The following is an 18760-nucleotide window of genomic DNA, read 5'->3' on the forward strand; positions in this document are numbered from 1 at the left end:
CTTTAAACAGAAAGGAAATTATAAAAGAAGGACTCTTGAAGTAACAGGAAGGAAGAAAGAACAATGAAACAGGAAGAAATAGTGGGAGAATGCAATAGACTATCCTTCTTGTGAGTTTCATGAATCATATTTGATGATTGCAACAAAAATTATAACATCATCTGATACTCAAGACAAGACAATTATACTTAAAAGTAAGCAAGGTAGAGACCTAACTAGTAGTAAGGTTTTCACACTTCACTCAAAGTGGTAAAATGTTGATACCAGTAGACGGTGATAAGTCACATATGTACATTGTATTGCCAAGGGCAACCGCTAAGAAAACTTTATATAGTAATACACTCAGAAACTCTATAAATTAATCAAGATGGAATCATAAAAATATTCTAATAACCCCAGAAAAGCAAGAAAAAACAGAGGAACAAGGAACAGAAGAAACAAACACAAAACAAATAATAAAACAGCAAACTTATGGCCTGACAGAAGTATTTACCTTAAAAGGATACAATATGAAGAAAAGTAAAAATTGACCATGAAAAAAAGATTTGTCTATGAAAATGATTTTTTTTTACATGAGGTATTCCTGTTGTCATTGGAGATATTTATGAGTAGATTCTAATTACCTTGTATTGTTAAAGTGAAAGTCACACTGTACTCTCAGTAAATTTGTGATTTGTTCTTTCCTAATTTCAACAGTTTTTAAACAGTATTGAGGAAAGGTTACTTGCAAACAAAAATTGTTTTTGTGTGTGTTCCATTTGAATATGTAAATATTATAAGGAACATTTAGAATCACAATAATCAGAGAATTCAGATTAAAACAGCAATTAGAGGTTTTTTTGCCTATCAGATAGGGATTAATTAAATTCATAGTTGCTAATTGTAATGGGATATGGAAAAATAGGTGCTGTTATATACAATTAGAAGTGTAGATTTGATCAACATATTCTAAGGCAGTTTTAGAGGAATGACCTTATTTTAACATGTTAATTTGCATTCAGCAATTCAGATTATGGGAAGCTGTGTATAGGAAATATGCTTAATTGTTCACAGTAACATATATAGACAGGTGTTTATTTTAGTGGTATTTGCAGGGGAGAAAGGCTAGAAATAGTTGGGCTATGCCCTGGTATCAGGAAATGTTTTAAAGTGAAAACTAATACATATTAACACTTCATAAGAAAAAAAATTCCGCAAAGAGCAGACATTATTTAGCTAGCTTGGTGTAATGTTCATAATATTTCTCAGTTCCAAAATGTATTGGGGATACTTTAATAAACAGTTTTGTTGTGAACTCATTAATTTGAATAATTATTAATTGCAAACATACCCAAATGTAAGTTCAAGGTACAACAACAACAACAAAAAACAAAAGTAACATTTAATTTACTGTTCTGATTACTAGTCCATTTATTTCTATGGGTAATCGAGTTGAACATCATATGTATGTTTTTTCAGAGAGTAAAAATCATCTCATGTTTACATCGGTGACATATTTCTTCTAAATTAAAAAATTTTTTTCTACCAATTTTTTAAGGCCTTGCCTGATGCTACCCTGTCTGTGAGGTTTTTGTTAATTATTCATCTTTAAGTTATCGCTATCTCTTTTGAACTATAACATATTTTTCTTTATTTTTATCTCATCATTTTCCATAATATTAATAGTAATAATACTTTTTGTGCTTTAAATCATACATTATACACTGCTTTATTTGCTTTACATATATTATCAGATTTCTCATATTAGCCCATAATAAGGTAGACATTACTATCCTGATTTTACATTGAAGAAACTAAAATATTCAGAGGTTAAGTAAATTACTCAAGGTCACACAGGTAAGATTAAAGTTTAGGTTTCAAATTCAGGTATGTTTGCTACAAAACCTTGTCACTGTGTTAGACTGCCTCTAAAGTGAGTAAGGTAAATGAAATAAATGCTTTGTATGTTTAAAATTTTGTTATAAAGGAAAGGAAATAATGAATTAATGAAATGTTCAAATTACAGACTTTAAAGTAAATACAGATTTCGTTTTATACTAGTCATAAGGTAATTCAGTGTTAGTAGTTAATACCATTAAATATAATGTGATAATCAGCTAGCGAAAAAGAAAAAAATTAAAGTTCACGGTTATTTGCTACATATATATATATATAAATTTTAAGTTAGAATTATACCATTTGTTATATCATTTATGCCATGTACAAATGAATGAAAATTTCACTTTTTTTCTTTCTAGAATTCTGGAGGTGGAAATGGAGTTGATCTTTCAGTGCTAAATGAGGCTCGCAATATGGTGTCAGATCTTCTGACTGATCCAAGCCTTCCACCACAAGTCATTTCCTCTCTACGGAGTATTAGTAGCTTAATGGGTGCTTTCTCAGGTTCCTGTAGGCCAAAGATTAATCCTCTCACACCATTTCCTGGATTTTACCCCTGTTCTGAAATAGAGGACCCAGCTGAGAAAGGGGATAGAAAACTTAACAAGGTCGAAATACAGTAATCATCTAACCCTATTTATCAAATTTAATGATATTTTCAAATTAACTGCTCCTTTAAATTCTATATAGAATACAATTTTCGTTTCAAGGATCAGACATAATATTGAGCTGCTTGGGATGTTAGAGGCAATTATAAGCTCAAATAATTATAGTTGAGTATTCAGTTTTTATTTTAAATACATTGCTGTGATTAGCACTTATAACAACTATGTATTATTATTCTTGTTAAGAAGTAGAGAACAGCAAGCAAATTTTGTTCCAGGCTTGTACAACAAACTAGTAGTCAGATCACGTTATTGCTCTATTTTATTCTTTAGAATCTAGGAATTGTTCTTGTTGAGCCAAGAAGAAATGGTCATTATCATATTCATTTTATGAATTACATAGAATTATTTTAAAATGATTTTTAAGTTTTTTGAACCCTGTTTTCCCCCTTTTACACCTACTGAAGATTACTGTAGCCCAGTAGGCATTGATTTTTATATCATTAGAATAGAGGATTAATTTCTCTTTAAAATATAAATATTTCAAAATAGGATTTTCTTTAGAAAATAATAAATACTGTTCTAAATGGGTATGCATTATCCTTGTTCAGAGTGCTTTTACTTGTTTTATTTGACTATTATCAGTATCTTTGCCAATAGCTAAAATCATAAAACTTTAAAACTAGAAACATTGTAGAAATTATTTTACTCAACCACTTTATTCCAGATAAGGAAACTAACCAAGAGAAGACAAAATTTATTTCAGTTAATTTTGTCAATTGTAATAATGCTTATAGAACTTAGAAATAGGTAAATATAGTTTTTGTAGGGATTTTGATCATCAGTTAATTTTATCAGTTGTCAGCATTAGGGTTTAGAAATGTTGAAAAGTTAAGCAAACCCAGTTAGAGGAAAAGGATTTCAGAAGTATTGATCACAATCTGGATCATTGTTATGTGATACTTTTATTTTTTTAAAGTTTATGCAGTAGCACCTACATTAGTCAAAACCCAATTAATTAGTACTTAGTTACATGACTTCCTTTTTAGCACTCTATCTTATAAGAAAGAGGTTAATCACAAGCATTCAGAGGGCATAGCAATAAACCATAAATAAAATAACTCTAATGTATTCTTGAGTTAGTTTTCACTCTATATGTTACTCTTTCTTTGCATTTTCTGTTGATATTTGATACTCAGGATAGTAATTTTTAAAAATAGTAATTCTTAAAATTTTTAATCAGAAATCATATTGATATCAGTATTTAGTGTGTAGAAAAGTGTACTGGTACATTTTAGGAATATTTTAAACATAATATTAATTAAACAGGATGCCTAAATGCCTCATTTCCTGAGCATTGTAGTTAATCAAGGAAGGTTATTTTGGGTTCTGGAATCTACTGATAGAGTAAGTCATATAAGAACCAGGAAGTAACCCTTATTCCTTTTCTTTGTGTTCTTTAAACTCGTTATTAGAACTCTATATCGAATTTGTCTCTCCTTTTGGAAAAGCATATAAAAAGCCTGTTGTTACTTCAGAAAAGGGCAAAGGCATTTATTGAAAAAACAATAGGCAAAAGGGAAAAGGAACAGACAACTTGATATAACTATCTTATACACATTAAGAACAAAGAAAGATCATATGAACCTAAATGACACTCAACAAGGATATTAACATAAAGGACTTTTTCACTGCAGGTCTAATTAACTATTAACCTTTACAAAATCAGTGTCCTTGGGAAAACTGAAATATAAGACAGATACTTATCTCTGAGATTGCTGCAGTGTCTGCTGATAGAGGAAATTCATAAGAAGCAGAAACTATTATGTAAATCTCAGTAAAACACTTATTTATAATGGTCAAAAATGGAATATTGGTAATTGAACATTTGGGTTAGTTGAGAATATTTTTTAAAATTAGGGCAAAATATTAATGCTAAAGGTGTTCTGTATTTAACTCAGTCATTTATTCAAACCCAGAATCCTGCAGTTTCTCCTGATTAACAGCTAAGTAAATTCTATAGCACTGTACTGAAAATATAAAAAATTTAGAATATAGGGCTGATCATCCCTGATCCTAAGATTGTCCTCTGAAGTTGATTTTCAGGGTAAATCTTTCATATCCACTTTTTAAATTGCCGATTGTTTCTTATGAAACAAGTAGTAAAATGTACAAAAGAAAAAGAATCTAGCTTAAATTATAGAGTTCAGACATATTTTTTAGTAGGAGGAAGAGGAATAGAATAACAAAATAGAGTGTGAAATTTGGAGTAAATTGACAGATTTTCAGAATAAAATGTTTCTTTTTTCTCTGTACATGTTAAAAATATACTTTGTATTGATACTTTCATGTGCCATCACTAATATTACATATATAGCATATTAAAGAGTGACATTTTAAACCATTGTTAAATTATTCAACAGGGACTAAATAGGAATAGTTTGCCAACTCCACAGCTGAGGAGAAGCTCAGGAACTTCAGGATTGCTACCTGTTGAACAGTCTTCAAGGTGGGATCGTAATAATGGCAAAAGACCTCACCAAGAATTTGGCATTTCAAGGTAAAATCTGCAGAGCCTTTTAAGAAACTTGAATCAAATGCATCTACTTTGTTTCTGTCAATAATGTTTCAAATAGTTCTGGAAGCAGAAAGGAATGGTTGAAGTATTTTAGGTATAGGACAACATGTGTAGTAATAATATGGTAAAATAGAGAAACTGATTATTAAAGAGAAGCTAATGTGTCTTGTCCTAAAACTTTGATAGGCTGGGTACAAAATGTGCTGGATCCCTGAGAACATGAGATAGTTTAGGGAAATCAGGATCAACTCAGGACTGGATGCTGGGGAAGTTTTTAAATCGATAGAAGTGGCCATTACAGGGTTAGCCACCAATCCAATGAATAGTATCCAAAGGTAGGTCTGCAGAATTACTGACTTCTGAAAAGAGGAGCACGTTTCCAAGGCTCATCACAATTGTTAGGTTTAAGGTAACCAGACTTTCAAATCCTGTTCCTGCTGGAGGTTGAGACAACTAATATATTCTATATTCTGTTGAGGATTTACTTGGAACTGAACAATGCTAATCTTATAAATGAAAGGCATCAGTAACTTTAAGTAAATGAGGCTGGGAAAATGCAGGAGCTGAAATCTCCCGAATGTAAATATATACATTTACCCTGATAACAAAGGATTTAATAATACAGTACTTTGTCTTTTGAAAGCCAGGAAGGATACTGATCCTTGTGTGAGTTTGTCATAAGTTTTTTCTTTACTCAGCTTTCTAATTATGTTAATATAATATTGGAATTGGCACAAATTCTGTGTTAACCATTTTCTGGTATTACTGAGCATGTTTTATACTTTTGAGCTGTATAGTTTCACATTTGAAACAGTAGATGGCAGGATTGGATCATAGCTATTTGTTAAAGTTTATGTTAACAGATAATTAGATGATTATAATTTTCTAGATTCTTAGGTGGTTTATTAATTTGAATCTTGTATAATATATTCAAGCAGGTGAACTCCTTTTTTGTAAAAGAAAAATTGAATGAAGTGATGTCTAAAACAGGAATGGATTGAAGTATGAAGAGTACTGTACAGGAAAATGAGCATTGGTCCAAAATTTGCCATGGCCTGAACATCATAGTCTTTTTTTTTTTTTTGTAAAGGAAGCAGGATATAGGGAAGTGAATGATGTTAGGAACAGAAAATGTGACAGTATTTCTTAACTATGGGTAGCATTATCTTGAGAATATAGTTGGGTTTTAAAAGGTATGATAAAAATGTTTTATATTTTAACCTTTCATACTGATGTAACAGCAATGCATTTGCAGTTAAAGAAACATTTGATACATTGAGTTAAGGTCATTTTTATCCTGCTGCCTCAGATAATTGATTACAATAGAAACATAGTTCAGAGAAAACTAATCTTTAACTCTGAAAAGTGTTTATTATATAAAGCTAAATGTAGGTAGATTCTATGTAGTGACTTAACTCATTAAAACAAAATTTATGCCTCATAAAATATTTAGAAATTTGGAGAATAAATTAATTGGTGGTATTATGTACGTCTATTTTAAAGAGACCAGGCTAGATGTATCTTTTCTAGTTTGCAGAAGCTGGAGCCTCTTGGTAATAAATGTCTATGTGTACTTTGCACATAGGTGGGTTACGATGGGAATATATGAAACATTTACAACCACTATTCCTTTTCAGATTCAAATCTCTGGATCAGTGCTGTCTAATAGAAATTTTTGCAATGATGGAAATAGTTTATATCTGCACTGTCTAATATGGTACTCCCTAGCTACATGTGACTGTTAATCATTTGAAATGTGTCTAGCATGACTAAGGAACTGACTTTTAAATGTGATTTAATTCTTATTAATTTCATTCAGATATAAAGAGCCATATGTGACTGTTTTGTAGACATATGTGACATCCATATTAGTGCAGCTCTAGATCTTTAATGCGTAGTGATGTTTTGTTCAGGAATCTTTAGACTTTAGTAGCACAAAACTCATAGACTTATGACTCTGAAATCATCTTGACTTTATATTATAGTACTCCAGAATCGAGATCTCATATCCTTGATTTTGAGTCTTGAGCTTTGGATTCTGATCACAGTTTGCCTGACTGATTTCAGCATGATTCCGGTGTTGAACCTCTCATTTCCTGAGCCTATGCCTGATACCAGGTTTCTCATCATTCCAGCTGCTTTTTTGTCTGTTACTATTGTTCTGCCCTTATTTCCCCGCACAATGCTGCTATCCTCTAGTGGAGTGGTTGCTTACAAAATTGATTTACTTAGAGACTTGGTGTTATCTTTGCATCCTGTTACCTTATTCTACAGATAACAGTTGTCAGATATCTGTCTGCATTATCTTTTACTCTCTATTCTTCTCCTTTATCACTGTGCCTATACTATTTTATGCTTTCATTACTACTTACTTGGGCTATTGAATTAGCCTCTTAATTCCAGTTTCCAGTATCCTTCTTGACTTTATTAATCTTCCACCTTACACTAGAAATCTTCCTTAAATAAAACTGTGATTGCAGTTGTCCCTGGTTATCCCTGGGGGATTGGTTCCAGGCCCCTCCCCTTCCCATGGGTACAAAAATCCATGGATGCTTGAGTCCTTTATATAAAATGGTGTAGTATTTACATATTCTCTCTACACATCCTTTCATGTACTTTAAATCACCTCCAGATTATTTATAATACCTAAGGCAATGTAAATGCTATGTAAAGAGTTGTTATACTCTATTTTTTACTTGTATTTTTTTATTACTGTGTTTTTTTTCCTTGAATATTTTTGATTTGGGGTTGGTTAAATCTGTGGATGTAGAAACCTCACATACAGAGAGCTGACTATGTATAGTTTGTCTAGTCATTGCATTTTTGGACTCTTTACCAGTCCTATAGAATAACGCCCAAATTCCTAGTGTAGAATGTGAAACCCAATTATTACCTCATGACAGAGCTGCAGCCCTTACTTGGAAAAAGTAAATGAACTAACACAGATGAGCAGTCTTTCAAATAATGAGAATAGAAAAATGATATGGAAAGCTTTCTAGGTAAAAACAGTAGGCATGTAACTTGTTTAAGACTCTTCCTTGATGTTTTCTGGTAATTTTGTTCTTGGTTTAACACCATTTGAAAATTAAGCTAAATTATGTTTCAAAATAATTAAAATACAAACAATGAAATATATATAAGGTATTTGGATAAAAAGTAATACCCTATTTGTGTAAAGAATAATACAGGATTTAATTTTGCTTTTATTCATGCTTTGCCTAGAGAAAAAAATTAAGTATTATAACCCTGGGAGCTATGATAAAAATAATCAGAAGAAAGAAAACCACAGGGAAGAAGAGTTAGTCCCCCATTGAACAGCGACCCTGTTCTTATTGTTAAGAGTTTATTATTGTTCATCTGTTAGAGGACTTGAGATTTTACTAATTAAGGAGGCCATTCCTTTACAACACCAAAATATGTTTCCAACATCACCTTCCTCTAGTCTTCTGAAATTCTAGTCAAGCTGAACTATTTGATCTTCTCTCTGTCCATCTGTGCACCCTTTTAATTTAAAAAGCAATTTAACTGGAATAGATCTCAACTTCAGTTCTGTATATCCTTAGTTGGGCTCATAAATCACCTTATAAGGATAACACCTGGAGGTCCTTCTCCCTTCTCCAAGGAGAAGTACTCTTTTCTTCCTCTGAATTTCCATAACACATTCTCTTACGGCGCTTTTCACATTTGACTTTATGTCAGCCATTACTACTCCTCTAAAGCCTGTTTAAGTTCTGTAAAGAGTTCGAGATTGCATTAAAATGAATCTTTGAAGACAAATGGCTGCTTAACAAGTGTCCTGCAGAGGTATGGTATCCATATGAGATTATGACCCTTAATCTTGCCTTCTGCTTAAGTTTCAGATCTGGGATGAGATTTCTGTGGTCAGAAAGTTCCAGGAAAGGTTGTTTTCTGGATTTGCTGATGATAAAATTACCCATCTCTGAGTTCTAGTTTTAGTACAGGTTGAATATCCCTTATCTGAAAGTCTTGGGACCAGAAGTGTTTCAGATTTCAGGTTTTGGAATATTTGCCTATGCATAATGTTGTATCTTGGGGATACAACCCAATATTCATTTATATTTCATATACACATAGCCTGAACGTGATTTTATATAATATTTTAAATAATTTTATGCGTGAAACAAAGTTTTGACTATATTTTAACTGTGACCCATCTCATGTGGTCAAGTGTGGAATTTTCCATTTGCAGAGTCATGTTTATACTCAAGAAATTTTGAATTTTGGAGCATTTTGGATTTGGGATGCTCAACCTATACTTAGAGTTAAAAGAAGACTGAACTGCTATTTTTGAACTGAGTGATGGGACCCAGCCTTCTCTGAGGTCAAACAGCATATATTCAGGGCTCACAGGTCACTCTTTTTGAACAGGTTTTCCCTGGGGAAAAAAATAGGCAAGTTGTGTTCAATTACCCTGTGGGCTATCAATTATAGTTACCTCCTACACTAAAGAGACTTGCTTTTAAACCCATGAGTCACCATTTATCTTCACCGCTACTGTGTAATGAAATCTAATAACTCGTTGCCTGGCAATAGTATGTATGTTAAATTCTGTGCCTTATAATTTATCAGAGACTTACACCAAGGTTATATTAGCAAACTTGACCCTATTTGAACCCCAGCAATTCAAGAGGGCTAATTGTGTCATCCTACTCAGCTTCTTAAGAGAATAACTCTGTAAATTTAGACATCTACAGTTATCAAGTTTATACAACTGCATTGAAACTGAGTTGGTACAGACCTTGTTAAGGTAATTTGTATTGACTGTCTAGAAGTCAGCTCTTAAAATATAGCTTAGCTCAGGGACCATAACTTTTGACGTCTCTTGTTCGTTTGCTTTTGACAACTCATTCCCAAGTGAGTAGAAAAAGAAAAACAAACTCAATTTCTTCCACCATACTCTGACAGCACATTTCTGATACCAGATGTGTGGGGATTTCTCCCCACCAGCAAGCAAGCGAGCAAGCAAGCAGGCAAGCAAGCAATTCTGTAGTAGACATAAGCTAGGTGTCCTATAATTCAATTATTTCTTTTTCTTTTCTTTTTTTTTTTTTTTGAGACAGAGTCTCACTCTGTTGCCCAGGCTGGAGTGCAGTGGCACGATCTCTGCCCACTGCAGTCTCTGCCTCCTGGGATCAAGCAATTCTTCCTCAACCTCCTGAGTAGTTGGGACTACAGGCACATGCCACCATGCCCAGCTAATTTTTGTATTTTTAGTAGAGACGGGGTTTCACCATGTTGGCCAGGCTGGTCTCGAACTCCTGACCTCAGGTGATCTGCCTGCCTCGGCCTCCCAAAGTGCTGGGATTACAGGCATGAGACACCATGCCCAGCCTAATTCCATTATTTCTGACACCATCTACCTGGAGATAGCGTCAGATCATACTGGTTAAGGACTCAGTCCGACAAGACTGATCTCCACTTCTGATGCCAATAGCAAGCCTCAGGTTATTTTGCCTGTGCTTCTGACCAACCAGCTGTAAATCAGGGTTCCCACAGCCCCCTCCCTGGGTTCAGGTAATTTGCTAGAGCAGCTCACAGAACTCAAGGAAGCATGTTTACTGGCTTATTACAAATAATATTTTAAAGGATACAAATCAACAGCCAGATGAGGAGATACAAAGGACAGGTCTGGAAGGGGCCTGAGTACAGGAGCTTCTGCCCCTGTGGAGTTGGAGTATACCACCTTCCTTGCTTGTGGACATGTTCTTGTTCACTTTCCTGGAAGCCCCCACGTGTTTGGCTATTCACAAGCTCCTCAGACCCAGTCCTTTCTGGATTTTTATAGGAGCTTCATTTTATAGGCATGATTGAGTAAATCATTGGCCATTGGTGAGCAATTTAAGCTTTAGTCCCTCTCCTCTCTCTGGAGGTTGGGTAGTGGGGCTGAAAACCCCCATCATCTAATCCTGTCTTGGTCTTTCAAGTGACTAGCCTCTATCCTGAAGCTACCTAGAAGCTGCCAGCCATCAGTCAACTCATTAGCATACAAAAAGACACTTTGGAGATCCTCAGGAGTTTAGGAGTTGTATGCTAGGAAACAGGGACTGGACTAAAACCAAATATGTATTTCACAATATCACACCAAGTCTGACTTTAATCACCTTCCTGCCAACTATTAGTAGTCATTGGAACTACTCGTCTGCTTGTCTTCTGCTTTCTTCGTATTGATTTATGTAATTTCATTGAGGTGTGTATTTATCTGGTGCTGGGCCAGGACATGATGGGAAGATTCGGGAACTAATCTGAGAACCTATCATTTGACCTGTAACTCTTAATTCTAAATAGCTAAATGAATGTATGATATACTGAAATTATTGAAAGACCCTGGATCAAGGTAGAAGACAGTGGAGCAGTGCTGTGGTGCCATTCTGAAAGGAGAAATCTCTCTTTGTCTTGACTATTAATCATAGAATCAGGGAGTGGGCTTTGGTAGAATACACAGATTTTTCTCTTTTTTTGTTTTCTTTCTTTTTTATTTTAAACTAGAAGCTTTTAGAGTGTGTTTGTATGCTGTGAATGATATGGACAAGAAGAATATGAGATTTAATTTTGTTTGCATGTCTAAGTGTTTGAAAGCTCAATTCATTATCTTATTATTATTATTATCATTATACTTTCAGTTCTGGGGTACATGTGCAGAATGTGCAGTTTTGTTACATAGGTATACACGTGCCATGGTGGTTCACTGCACCCATCAACCCGTCACCTACATTAGATATTTCTCCTAATGCTATCCCTCCTCTAGTCCCCCACCCCCCGACAGGCCCTGGTGTGTGATGTTCCCCTCCCTTTGTCCATGTGTTCTCATTGTTCAACTCCCACTTATGAGTGAGAACATGTGGTGTTTGGTTTTCTGTTCTTGTGATAGTTTGCTGAGAATGATGGTTTCCAGCTTCATCCATGTCCCTGCAAAGGACATGAACTCTTCCTTTTTTATGGCTGCGTAGTATTCCGTGGTGTGTATGTGCCACATTTTCTTTATCCAGTCTATCATTGATGGACACTTCGGTTGGTTCCAAGTCATTGCTATTGTGAATAGCAATAAATATACATGTGCATGTGTTTTTATAATAGAATGCTTCATAATCCTTTGGGTGTATACCCAGTAATGGGATTGCTGAGTCAAATGGTATTTCTTGTCCTAGATCCTTGAAGAATCGCCACACTGTCTTCCACAATGGTTGAACTAATTTACACTCACCAACAGTGTAAAAGTATTCTTATTTCTCCACATCCTCTGCAGCATCTGTTGTTTCCCGACTTTTTAATGATCGCCATTCTAACTGGCATGAGATGGTATCTCATTGTGGTTTTGATTTGCATTTCTGTAAGGACCAGTGATAATGATCATTTTTCATATGTTTGTTGGCTGCATAAATGTCTTCTTTTGAGAAGTGTCTGTTCATATCTTTTGCCCACTTTTTGATGGGGTTGTATTTTTCTTGTAAATTTGTTTAAGTTCTTTGTAGATTCTGGATATTAGCCCTTTGTCAGATGGATAGAGTGTAAAAATTTTCTCCTATTCTGTAGGTTGCCTGTTCACTCTGATGGATGGTAGTTTCTTTTGCTGTGCAGAAGCTCTTTAATTAGATCGCATTGGTCAATGTTGCCTTTTGTTGCCATTGCTTTTGGTGTTTTAGACATGAAGTCTTTGCCCATGCCTGTGTCCTGAATGGTATTGCCTAGGTTTTCTTGTAAGATTTTTGTGGTTTTAGGTCTTACGTTTAAGTCTTTAATCCATCTTCAGTTAATTTTTGTATAAGGTGTAAGAAAGGGGTCCAGTTTCAGTTTTCTGCATATGGCTAGCCAGTTTTCCCAACACCATTTATTAAATAGGGAATCCTTTCCCCATTGCTTGTTGTGTCAGGTTTGTCAAAGATCAGATGGTTGTAGATGTGTGGTGTTATTTCTGAGGCCTCTGTTCTATCCTATTGGTCTATATATCGGTTTGGTACCAGTACCAGAGGAAAGAACAGGCAGTAATGATTGCTGTTCTGCAGCCTCTCCTGGTGATACCCAGGCAGGCAAACAGGGTGTTTTGGTTACTGTAGCCTTGCAGTATAGTTTGAAGTCAGGTAGCGTGATGCCTCCAGCTTTGTTCTTTTTGCTTAGGATTGTCTTGGCTATGAGGGATCTTTTTTGGTTCCATATGAAATTTAAAGTAGTTTTTTCTAATTCTGTGAAGAAAGTCAATGGTAGCTTGATGGGGATAGCACTGAATCTATATATTACTTTGGGCAGTATGGCCATTTTTGTGATATTGATTCTTCCTATCCATTAGCATGGAATGTTTTTTCATTTGTTTGTCCTCTCTTATTTCCTTGAGCAGTAGTTTGTAGTTCTCCTTGAAGAGGTCCTTCACAACCCTTGTGAGTTGGATTCCTAGGTATTTTATTCTCTTTATAACAAGTGTGAATGGGAGTTCACTCATGATTTGGCTCTCTTGTTTGTCTGTTTTTGTTGTATAGGAATGCTTGTGATTTTTGCATATTGATTTTTTATCCTGACACTTTTCTGAAGTTGCTTATCAGCTTAAGGAGATTTGGGGCTGAGACAATGGGGTTTTATAAATAATTGAATCATGTCATCTGCAAACAGAGACAATTTGACTTCCTCTCCTCCTAATTGAATACCGCTTATTTCTTTCTCTTGCCCGATTGCCCTGACCAGAACTTCCACTACCATGATGAATAGGAGTGGTGAGGGAGGGCATCCTTGTCTTGTGCTAATTTTCAGAAGGAATGCTTCCAGTTTTTGCCTATTCAGTATGATATTGCTTATTGGTTTGTCATAAATAGCTCTTATTATTTTGAGATACATTCCATTGATACCTAGTTCATTGAGAGTTTTTAGCATGAAGGGGTGTTGAATTTTGTCAAAGGACTTTTGTGCATCTATTGAGATAATCATGCGGTTTTTGTCATTGGTTCTGTTTATGTGATGGATTACGTTTATTGATTTGTGTATGTTGAACCAGCCTTGCATCGCAGGGATGAAGCCTACTTGATCGTGGTGGGTAAGCTTTTTGATGTGCTGCTGGATTCTGTTTGCCAATATTTTATTGAGGATTTTCATATCGATGTTCACCAGGGATATTGGCCTGAAATTTTCTTTTTTTGTTGTGTCTCTTCCAGGTTTTGGTATCAGGATGATGTCGGTGTCATAAAATGATTTAGGGAAGATTTCCTTTTTTTCTATTGAGTGGAGTAGTTTCAGAACGAATGGTACTAGCTCCTCTTTGTACCTGTCGTAGAATTCAGCTGTGAATCTGTCTGGTCCTGGACTTTTTTTTGGTTGGTAGGCTATTAATTACTGCCTCCATTTCAGAGCTTGTTATTGGTCGGTTCAGGGATTCGACTTCTTCCTGGTTTAGACTTGGGAGGGTGTGTGTGTCCACGAATTTATCCATTTCTTCTAGATTTTTTAGTTTATTTGTGTAGAGGTGTTTATAGTATCCTCTGATGGTAGTTTGTATTTCTGTGGGATCAGTGGTGATATCCCCTGTATCATTTTTTAATGTGTCTATTTGATTCTTTTCTTATTCTTCCTTATTAGCCTGGCTAGTGGTCAATATATTTTGTTGATCTTTTGAAAAAAATAGCTCCTGAATTCATTGATTTTTTGAAGGGTTTTTCGTGTCTCTATCTCCTTCAGTTCTGTTCTGATCTTAGTTATTTCTTGCCTTCTGCTAGCTTTTGAATTTGTTTGCTCTTGCTTCTCTAGTTCTTTTAATTGTGATGTTAGGGTGTCAATTTTAGATCTTTCCTGCTTTCTCTTATGGGCATTTAGTCCTATAAATTTCCTTTTACGCACTGCTTTAAATGTGTCCCAGAGATTCTGGTATGTTTTGTCTTTGTTCTCATTGGTTTCATAAAACATCTTTATTTCTGCCTTCATTTTGTTATGTACCCAGTAGTCATTCAGGAGCAGGTTGTTCAGTTTCCATGTAGTTGTGCGGTTTCGAGTGAGTTTCCTAATCCTGAGTTCTAATTTGATTGCACTGTGGTCTGAGAGACTGTTTGTTATGATTTCTGTTCTTTTGCCTTTGCTGAGGAGTGTTTTACTTCCCATTACGTGGTCAATCTTAGAATAAGTGCAGTGAGGTGCTGAGAAGAATGTATATTCTGTTGATTTGGGGTGGAGAGTTCTGTAGATGTCTCTTAGGTCCACTTGGTCCAGAGCTGAGTTCAAGTCCTGAATATCCTTGTTAATTTTCTGTCTCGTTGATCTGTCTAATATTGACAGTAGGGTGTTAAAGTCTCCCACTATTATTGTGTAGGAGTCTAAGTCTCTTTGTAGGTCTCTAAGAACTTGCTTTATGAATCTCGGTGCTCTTATATTGGGTACATATATATTTAGGATGGTTAGCTCTTTTGCATTTATCCGTTTACCATTATGTAATGCCCTTCTTTGTCTCTTTTAATCTTTGTTGGTTTAAAGTCTGTTTTATCAGAGATTAGGACTGCAACTCCTGCCTTTTTTTTTTTTTTTTTTGCTTTCCATTTTCTTGGTAAATATTCCTCCATCACTTTATTTTGAGCCTGATGTGTCTTTACAGGTGAGATGGGTCTCCTGAATACAGCACACTGATGGGTCTTGACTATCCAATTTGTCAGTCTGTGTATTTTAATTGAGGCATTTAGCCCATTTACGTTTAAGGTTAATATGTGTGAATTTGATGCTGTCATTATGATGCTAGCTGGTTGTTTTGCCCTTTAGTTGATGCAGTTTCTTAGTAGTGTTGATGGTCTTTACAATTTGGTATGTTTTTGCAGTGGCTGGTACTGGTTGTTCCTTTCCATGTTTAGTGCTTCCTTCAGGAGCTCTTGTTAGGCAGGCCTGGTGGTGACAGAATCTCTCAGCATTTGCTTGTCTGTAAAGTATTTTATTTCTCCTTCACTTATGAAGCTTAGTTTGGCTGGATATGAAATTCTGGGTTGAAAATTCTTTTTCTTTTGGCGGATCACGAGGTCAGGAGTTCGATTCCAGCCTGACCAACGTGGTGAAACCCCGTCTCTAATAAACATACAAAAGTTAGCTGGGCGTGGTGGTGCGCGCCTGTAATCGCAACTACTCAGGAGGCTGAGGCAGGAGAATTGCTTGAACCTGGGAGGCGGAGGTGGCAGTGAGCTGAGATTGCACCACTGCATTCCAGCCTGGGTGACAGAGAGAGACTCCATCTCAAAAAAGAATACTGGCCCTCATTCTATTCTGGCTTATAGGGTTTCTGCCGAGAGAGATCCGCTGTTAGTCTGATGGGCTTCCCTTTGTGAGTAACCTGAGCTTTCTCTCTGGGTGCCCTTAACATTTTTTCCTTCATTTCAACTTCGGTGAATCTGACAGTTATGTGTCTTGGGGTTGCTCTTCTCAAGGAATATCATTGTGGTATTCTCTGTATTTCCTGAATTTGAATGTTGGCCTGTCTTGTTAGGTTGGGGATGTTCTCTTGGATAATATCCTGAAGAGTGTTTTCCAACTTGGCTCCATTCCCCCTGTCACTTTCAGGTACACCAATCAAACGCAGATTTGGTATTTTCACATAGTCCCTTATTTCTTGGAGGCTTTGTTCATTTCTTTTTATTCTTTTTTCTCTAATCTTCTTGCTTTATTTCATCAAGTTGATCTTCAATCTCTGATATCCTTTCTTCCACTTGATCAATTAGGCTATTGATACTTGTGTATGCCTCACGAAGTTCTCGTGCTGTGTTTTTCAGCTCCATCAGGTCATTTATTTTCTTCTCTACACTGATTATTCTAGTTAGCAATTCGTCTGACCTTTTTTCAAGGTTCTTAGCTTCCTTGCATTGGATTAGAACATGCTCCTTTAGCTCGGATTAGTTTGTTGTTACCCACCTTCTGAAGCCTACTTCTGTCAGTTCATCAAACTCATTCTCTGTCCAGTTTTATTCCCCTGCTGGTGAGGAGTTGTGATTATTTGGAGAAGAGGCGTTGTGTTTTTTGGAATTTTCAGCCTTTTTGTGCTGGTTTCTCCCCATCTTTGTGGATTTATCTACCTTTGGTCTTTGATGTTTGTGACCTTCAGATGGGGTCTTTGAGTGGACATGCTATTCCTTTCTGTTGTTAGTTTTCCTTCTAACAGTCAGGCCCCTTTGCTTCCGGTCTGCTGCAGTTTGCTGGAGGTCCACTCCAGACCCTGTTTGCCTGGATGTCACCAGGAGAGGCTGCAGAGCAGCAATCATTACTGCCTGTTCTTTCCTCTGGAAGCTTTGTCCCAGAGGGACACCTGCCAGATGCCAGCCAGAGCTCTTCTGTATGGGGTGTCTGTCCGCCCCTACTGGGAGGTGTCTTCCAGTCAGGATACATGGGGGTCAGGGACCCACTTGAGGAGGTAGTCTGACCCTTAGCAGAGTTTGAAAACTGTGCTGGGAGGTCTGCTACTCTCTTCAGAGCCATTGGGCAGGGATGGTTAAGTCTGCTGAAGCTGCACCCGTAGCCACCCCTTCCCCCAGGTGCTCTGTCCCAGGGAGATTGGGGTTTTATCTGTAAGTCCCTGACTGGGGCTGCTGCCTTTTTTTCAGAGATGCCCTGCCCAGAGTGGAGAAATCTGGCAGTCTGGCCTCAATGGCCTTGCTGAGCTGCAGTGGGGTCCACCCAGTTCAAACTTTTGGGCTGCTTTGTTTACACTGTGAGGGCAAAACGCCTACTCAAGCCTCAGCAATGGCAGATGCCCCTCCTTCCACCAAGCTTGAGCATCCCAGGTGGATCTCAGACAGCTGCTGTGCTGGCAGTGAGAATTTCAAGCCAGTGGATCTTAGTTTGCTGGGCTCTGTGGCGGTGAGATCTGCAGAGCCAGACCACTTGGCTCCCTGGCTTTAGCCCTCTTTCCGGGGGAGTATAGGGTTCTGTCTTGCTGGCGTTCCAGGTGCCCCTGTGGTATGGAAAAAACAATACAACAACAAAAAAAACTCTTGCAGCTAGTTTGGTGTCTGCCTAAATGGCCGCCCAGTTTTTTGCTTGAAACCCAGGGCCCCGGTGGGGTAGGCACCGGAGGGAATCTCTTGGTCTGTGGATTGCGAAGACTGGGAAAAGCGTAGTATCTGGGCTGGAATGCACTGTTCCTCACGGCACAGTTCCTCACAGCTTGCCTTGGATAGGGGAGAAAATTCCCCAACCTCTTGCCCTTCCCAAGTGAGGTGATGCCCCACCCTGCTTCAGCTCGCCGTCTTTGGGCTGCATCCACTGTTCAACCAGTCCCAGTGAGACGAACTGGGTACCTCAGTTGGAAATGCAGAAATCACCCACCTTCTGCGTCAATCTTGCTGAGAGCTGCAGACTGGAGCTCTTTCTATTCAACCATCTTGCCTGGGAACACACACATTTTTCTATTTGAATGTTGCCCCGGGTGGTACTGTTACTCTTCTTTTCCAGTCTTTGCCACCCCACATGTAGGCAGTTGCCGGTATGAAATAATCAAAAGGATAAGAATCCAGCTTAAAAGAGTTTATTCAAACACAAAGCTGTGGATGCCCATCCAGGAAACACAGACTCCAAGGAAATAGGGTCAGTGCTTCAAAGTTGAAAAGTTAAGATCATATTTGTATAGGCAGAAAACAAAGATATTTAGCAGAATAACATTTTCCACACAAAGTTGGCTTCTGAGTTACAGCAATTTGATTAGTTACAGCTTGTTTGTTTTCTTTTTCCAATTTAAAAGAAT

At 36.7% G+C, this 18760-nt stretch overlaps 1 protein-coding gene across 11 annotated transcripts in view; it reads left to right on the top strand.

Moving 5' to 3' along the window:
* The window catches only part of PDE3B (phosphodiesterase 3B), a 255518-nt gene that overhangs the window by 140396 nt on the left and 96362 nt on the right, over positions 1–18760 (top strand). For 9 of the 11 annotated variants that reach the window (NR_190763.1, NR_190766.1, NR_190765.1 and 6 more), the window contains 2 exons: positions 2238–2486; positions 4907–5043. Coding sequence is in view for 7 of the 11 variants with exons in the window: in NM_001429700.1 (NP_001416629.1) it covers positions 2238–2486; positions 4907–5043 (386 nt within the window). In the remaining 4 variants the exon portion in view is untranslated. The remainder of the gene's footprint in view (positions 1–2237; positions 2487–4906; positions 5044–18760) is intronic. The other 2 variants (NM_001363569.2, NR_190764.1) reach the window with 2 other exon arrangements.

Source organism: Homo sapiens, chromosome 11 (assembly GCF_000001405.40).
Source record: "Homo sapiens chromosome 11, GRCh38.p14 Primary Assembly".
Lineage (NCBI taxonomy): Eukaryota > Metazoa > Chordata > Mammalia > Primates > Hominidae > Homo > Homo sapiens.